Source organism: Homo sapiens, chromosome 6 (assembly GCF_000001405.40).
Source record: "Homo sapiens chromosome 6, GRCh38.p14 Primary Assembly".
Classification (NCBI taxonomy): Eukaryota; Metazoa; Chordata; class Mammalia; order Primates; family Hominidae; genus Homo; species Homo sapiens.
Genome location: NC_000006.12, coordinates 121727512 through 121731948, shown reverse-complemented (window position 1 = coordinate 121731948; position 4437 = coordinate 121727512). Strand labels below are relative to the sequence as shown.

Sequence of the window (4437 nt, the reverse complement as noted above, 5' to 3'; positions counted from 1 at the left end):
GATAATATTCTTTTTTAATTTAATCGGTGTTCCAATACATTGCATTGGTAGTTTTTTTTTAATTTTTGAAAACATATTTCCTCATGAAATATTATTGTTATTGTTGTTTAATATATAACTGAAATAATTCAAAAATTATTTCTTTAGGATTTTACATCTATATTCATAACTGAGTGGGTCTACAATTTTAATTTCCTGGATTCCCTTTTACAAGTTTTGATATCAAATCTAAAACAGTGTTAGTGAAAAAATTAGAAAGCTTTCCCTTTTCTCCTCTATTCTCTGAAACTTGCCCTAGCTAGAGTGCAGTAACACAATCAAGGCTCACTACAGCCTGGACCTCCCAAGCTCAAGTGATCCTCCCACCTCAGTCTCCCAAGTAGCTGAGACCACAGGCATGCACCATCATGCCTGGCTAATTTTTCTATTTTTTGTAGAGACAAGATTTCACCATGTTGCCCAGGCTGGGAGTCTCTCTATTCTTTATACGTCCTTGAGTTATTGAGGTATAGTTAATTTGTTACCAAGTTTTCTCTTTATATACTTTTTTCATTTCTGATATTTTGATCATATAAAGTTGAGATGAGAAATTTGTTTTATCACAGCTTTGGTCATATTTATCTCCATCATTCCCTAATCAATTAGCATGGATTTCTCTTTGTAGAATAACTACTTGCAGATTATCAATAAAGGTTTCCAATAGTCTCGGGAATATTGCATGCCTATAAATTCCGTGTTTAATGAATACCACTTTTCACCTTCCCATAAGAATTCTTGTAAGTAGTCTTACTATGTTACCTCAAACTCCTGGGCTCAAGTGGTCTGCCTCTGCTGGCCTCTACCTCCTACAGTGCTGGGATTACAGGTGTGAACCACTGAGCCCAGCATATTCTTGGTTAAATCTTTTTGTTAAATATAGTGAACCCCAAGTTTCTCTTCAAAGAATCAGCATGTCAGTATGTTCAGCTATCATATTCTTCGATTCTCCATTTTAAAGTTTAACTCCCTGGTTCTCTTTGGCTCCTCGCTTCTAGTTTCAGTAAACAACTTTCCCACCAGTCCTAATCAGTAGTTCACATCTGTTCCCCTGGTCACCTGCTCCTTCCTGACTCATCCCAGTCACCTGCTTTGCAAAACCTGAGTCACCCTTGGTCACCTGCTCTGACCTAAGTCACCTTTAGTTACCTGTCCCTAACCATCCTTCCCGCCAAACCACTCACCCTGCCACTCTGGCTCGTACCCCTGCCCTCTTTAAAATAGCCAATCAGAATTAACTTAGACTGTGCAGTCCAACCCTAGCTAATAGGGGAACGACATAGCAATAGGGGCTACCTGCATCAGGAATAAGAACTCCTGCCCCTCCCCTGTCCAGGTGTGCTCTTGCCATTGTTTCATCTGCAAGGGGCACCCCTTCTGCAGAAAGGTAAAAATTGCCTTGCTGAGACAATTAAATTTATGTTTGAGCTCTCCTTCTCCCTCTCCCTCTCCCTCTCCCTCTTTACATGGTCTCCCTCTGATGCCGAGCCGAGGATGTACTGTACTGCCCTCTCCCTCTTTGCACTGTCTCCCTCTGATGCCCAGCCGAGGCTGGACTGTACTGCCACCATCTCGGCTCACTGCAACCTCCCTGCCTGATTCTCCTGCCTCAGCCTGCTGAGTGCCTGGGATTGCAGGCGCGCGCCGCCACGCCTGACTGGTTTTTGTATTTTATGGTGGAGACGGGGTTTCGCCGTGTTGGCTGGGCTGGTCTCCAGCTCCTGACCACGAGTGATCTGCCAGCCTCGGCCTCCCGAGGTGCCGGGATTGCAGACGGAGTCTCGCTCACTCAGTGCTCAACGTTGCCCACGCTGGAGTGCAGTGGGTGATCTCCGCTCGCTGCAACCTCCACCTCCCAGCTGCCTGCCTTGGCCTCCCAAAGTGCCGAGATTGCAGCCTCTGCCCGGCTGTCATCCCGTCTGGAAAGTGAGGAGTGTCTCTGCCCGGCCGCCCATCGTCTGGGATGTGGGGAGCGCCTCTGCCCCACCGCTCCATCTGGGATGTGAGGAGACCCTCTGCCTGGCCGCGACCCCGTCTGGGAACTGAGGAGTGTCTCTGCCCCGCTGCCACCCCGTCTGGGAGGTGACGAGCGTCTCTGACCGGCTGCCCCATCTGAGAAGTGAGGAGCCCCTCCGCCCGGCAGCTGCCCCGTCTGGGAAGTGAGGAGCATCTCCACCCAGCAGCCTCCCTGTCCGGGAGGTGGGGGGCAGCCCCTGCCCGGCCAGCCACCCCATCCGGGAGGTGGGGGGCGCCTCTGCCTGGCAGCCCTGTCTGGGAAGTGGGGAGCCCCTCTGCCCAGCCGCCAACCCGTCTGGGAGGTGTACCCAACAGCTCATTGAGAACGGGCCATGATGATGATGGCGGTTTTGTTGAGTGGAAAGGGGGGACATGTGGGGAAGGGAAGGAGAGATCAGATTGTTGATGTGTCTATGTAGAAAGAGGTAGACATAGGAGACTCCATTTTGTTCTGTACTAAGAAAAATTCTTCTGCCTTGGGATGCGGTTAATCTATAACCTTACCCCCAACCCCGTGCTCTCTGAAACATGTGCTGTGTCCACTAAGGGTTAAATGGATTAAGGGCGGTGCAAGATGTGCTTTGTTAAACAGATGCTTGAAGGCAGCATGCTCGTTAAGAGTCATCACCACTCCCTAATCTCAAGTACCCAGGGACACAAACACTGGGGAAGGCGGCAGGGCCCTCTGCCTAGGAAAACCAGAGACCTTTGTTCACATGTTTATCTGCTGACCTTCCCTCCACTATTGTCCTACGACCCTGCCAAATCCCCCTCTCCGAGAAACACCCAAGAATGATCAATAAATACTAAAAAAATTTAAAAAAAAAAATTTATGTTTGAGTGCTATTTCTTTATGGCACCGAGGAACAAGCATTTTGCATTTGTAACATTTTGAAACCAACTACCAGCATCACACTGTAACAGCGAAACACTGTAACAACACAACATTAAATATTAAAATGTCTCGACATTAAAGACAAAGCAAGATAACCACTATTACTATTAATGGTAACCATTATATTCCTTCATAACTTCAATCAAAAAAATCAAAATATCTGAAATATATTTGAGGAAAACTGAATATCTCTTCTGTGAGATATAAAAGACATACATAAATGAAAAAATATTTTCTGTTGAAAGAAAAGCTTAATGCAGTTTAACATGTTTGCATAACATAGTAATATATAAACATATATTATATATTTAATATATTTATATGTAGCATTAATTTACATATTAATATATTCATTTCACCACTGAATTGATCTAAATATAAAAATAATCCCAATAAAAATGCTAATTTTTTTTTTTTTTTTTTGAGGTGGAGTTTCATTCTGTTGCCCAGGCTGGAGTGCAATGGCGTGATCTCGGCTCACTGCAACCTCCGCCTCCATGGTTCAAGCGATTCTCCTGCCTCAACCTCTTGAGTAGCTGGGATTACAGGCATGTGCCACCACGCCCAACTAATTTTTGTATTTTTAGGAGAAACACAGTTTTACCATGTTAGTCAGGCTGGTCTCGAACTCCTGATCTTGTGATTTGCCCGCCTCAGCCTCCCAAAGTGCTGGGATTACAGGTTTGAGTCACCGTGCCTGGCCAAAATGCTAATTTTCTTTTTTATAAACATGATCAAATATTTCTAAATGGACCTTCCTCTATTCGTTATTAGAAATCATTTATTTATTCATTTAATCATTAATATTGAGGCTCTACTATATGTCAAACACTGTGCTAGGCAGAGGAATCACCAGTGAAGACTATACTGTGTAGGTTTATTTATTTATTTATTATTTTTCTTTTGAGATGGAGTCTCACACTGTCACTCAGGCTGGAGTGCAGTGGAGTGCAGGCTGGAGCTTAGCTCACTCAAACAATCCTCCCACCTCAGCCTCCTGAGTAACTTGGACTACTGTGCGCCACCATGCCCAGCTAATTTTTTTTTTTTTTTTTTTTTGTATTTTGGTAGAGATGAGGTTTCACCAATATTGCCCAGGCTGGTCTCGAACTCCTGGATTGAAGCAATTCACTCACTTTGGCCTCCCAAAGTGCTGGGATTACAGGAGTGAGCCTCCATGCCTGGCTCAATATGTATATTTAGATCTAATTTTTATGAAACATACAATCATACACAAATAGGAGATACACCAAATTGCTAGAAATAATTATCTCAGGGTCCTAGGAATTTTGGTAACACTTTTCTCAGTTTTGTTTATCTTTATTTTTGTTATCCTGATAAAAATTACCTGTGTAATTTTTGTTAACAAATAATCACTTTTTTGTATACGGATGAGACAAATTATTTTAGAAATGCTAGAGATAAGAAAGATATAAAAAATCAATTTGCATCTACATATTTGCATTGTCCATGAGGTTTAAGGCAAAATA

General features: G+C 43.6%; 1 annotated feature.

The window, feature by feature from the left end:
- Positions 1461-2194: an enhancer, noted in NCBI's record as "H3K27ac hESC enhancer chr6:122050901-122051634 (GRCh37/hg19 assembly coordinates)". NCBI's record gives its function as "activates a minimal SCP1, AML or CMV promoter by ChIP-STARR-seq in primed H9 embryonic stem cells {active_cell/tissue: H9 hESC(primed)}" and the evidence as "EXISTENCE:reporter gene assay evidence [ECO:0000049][PMID:30033119]".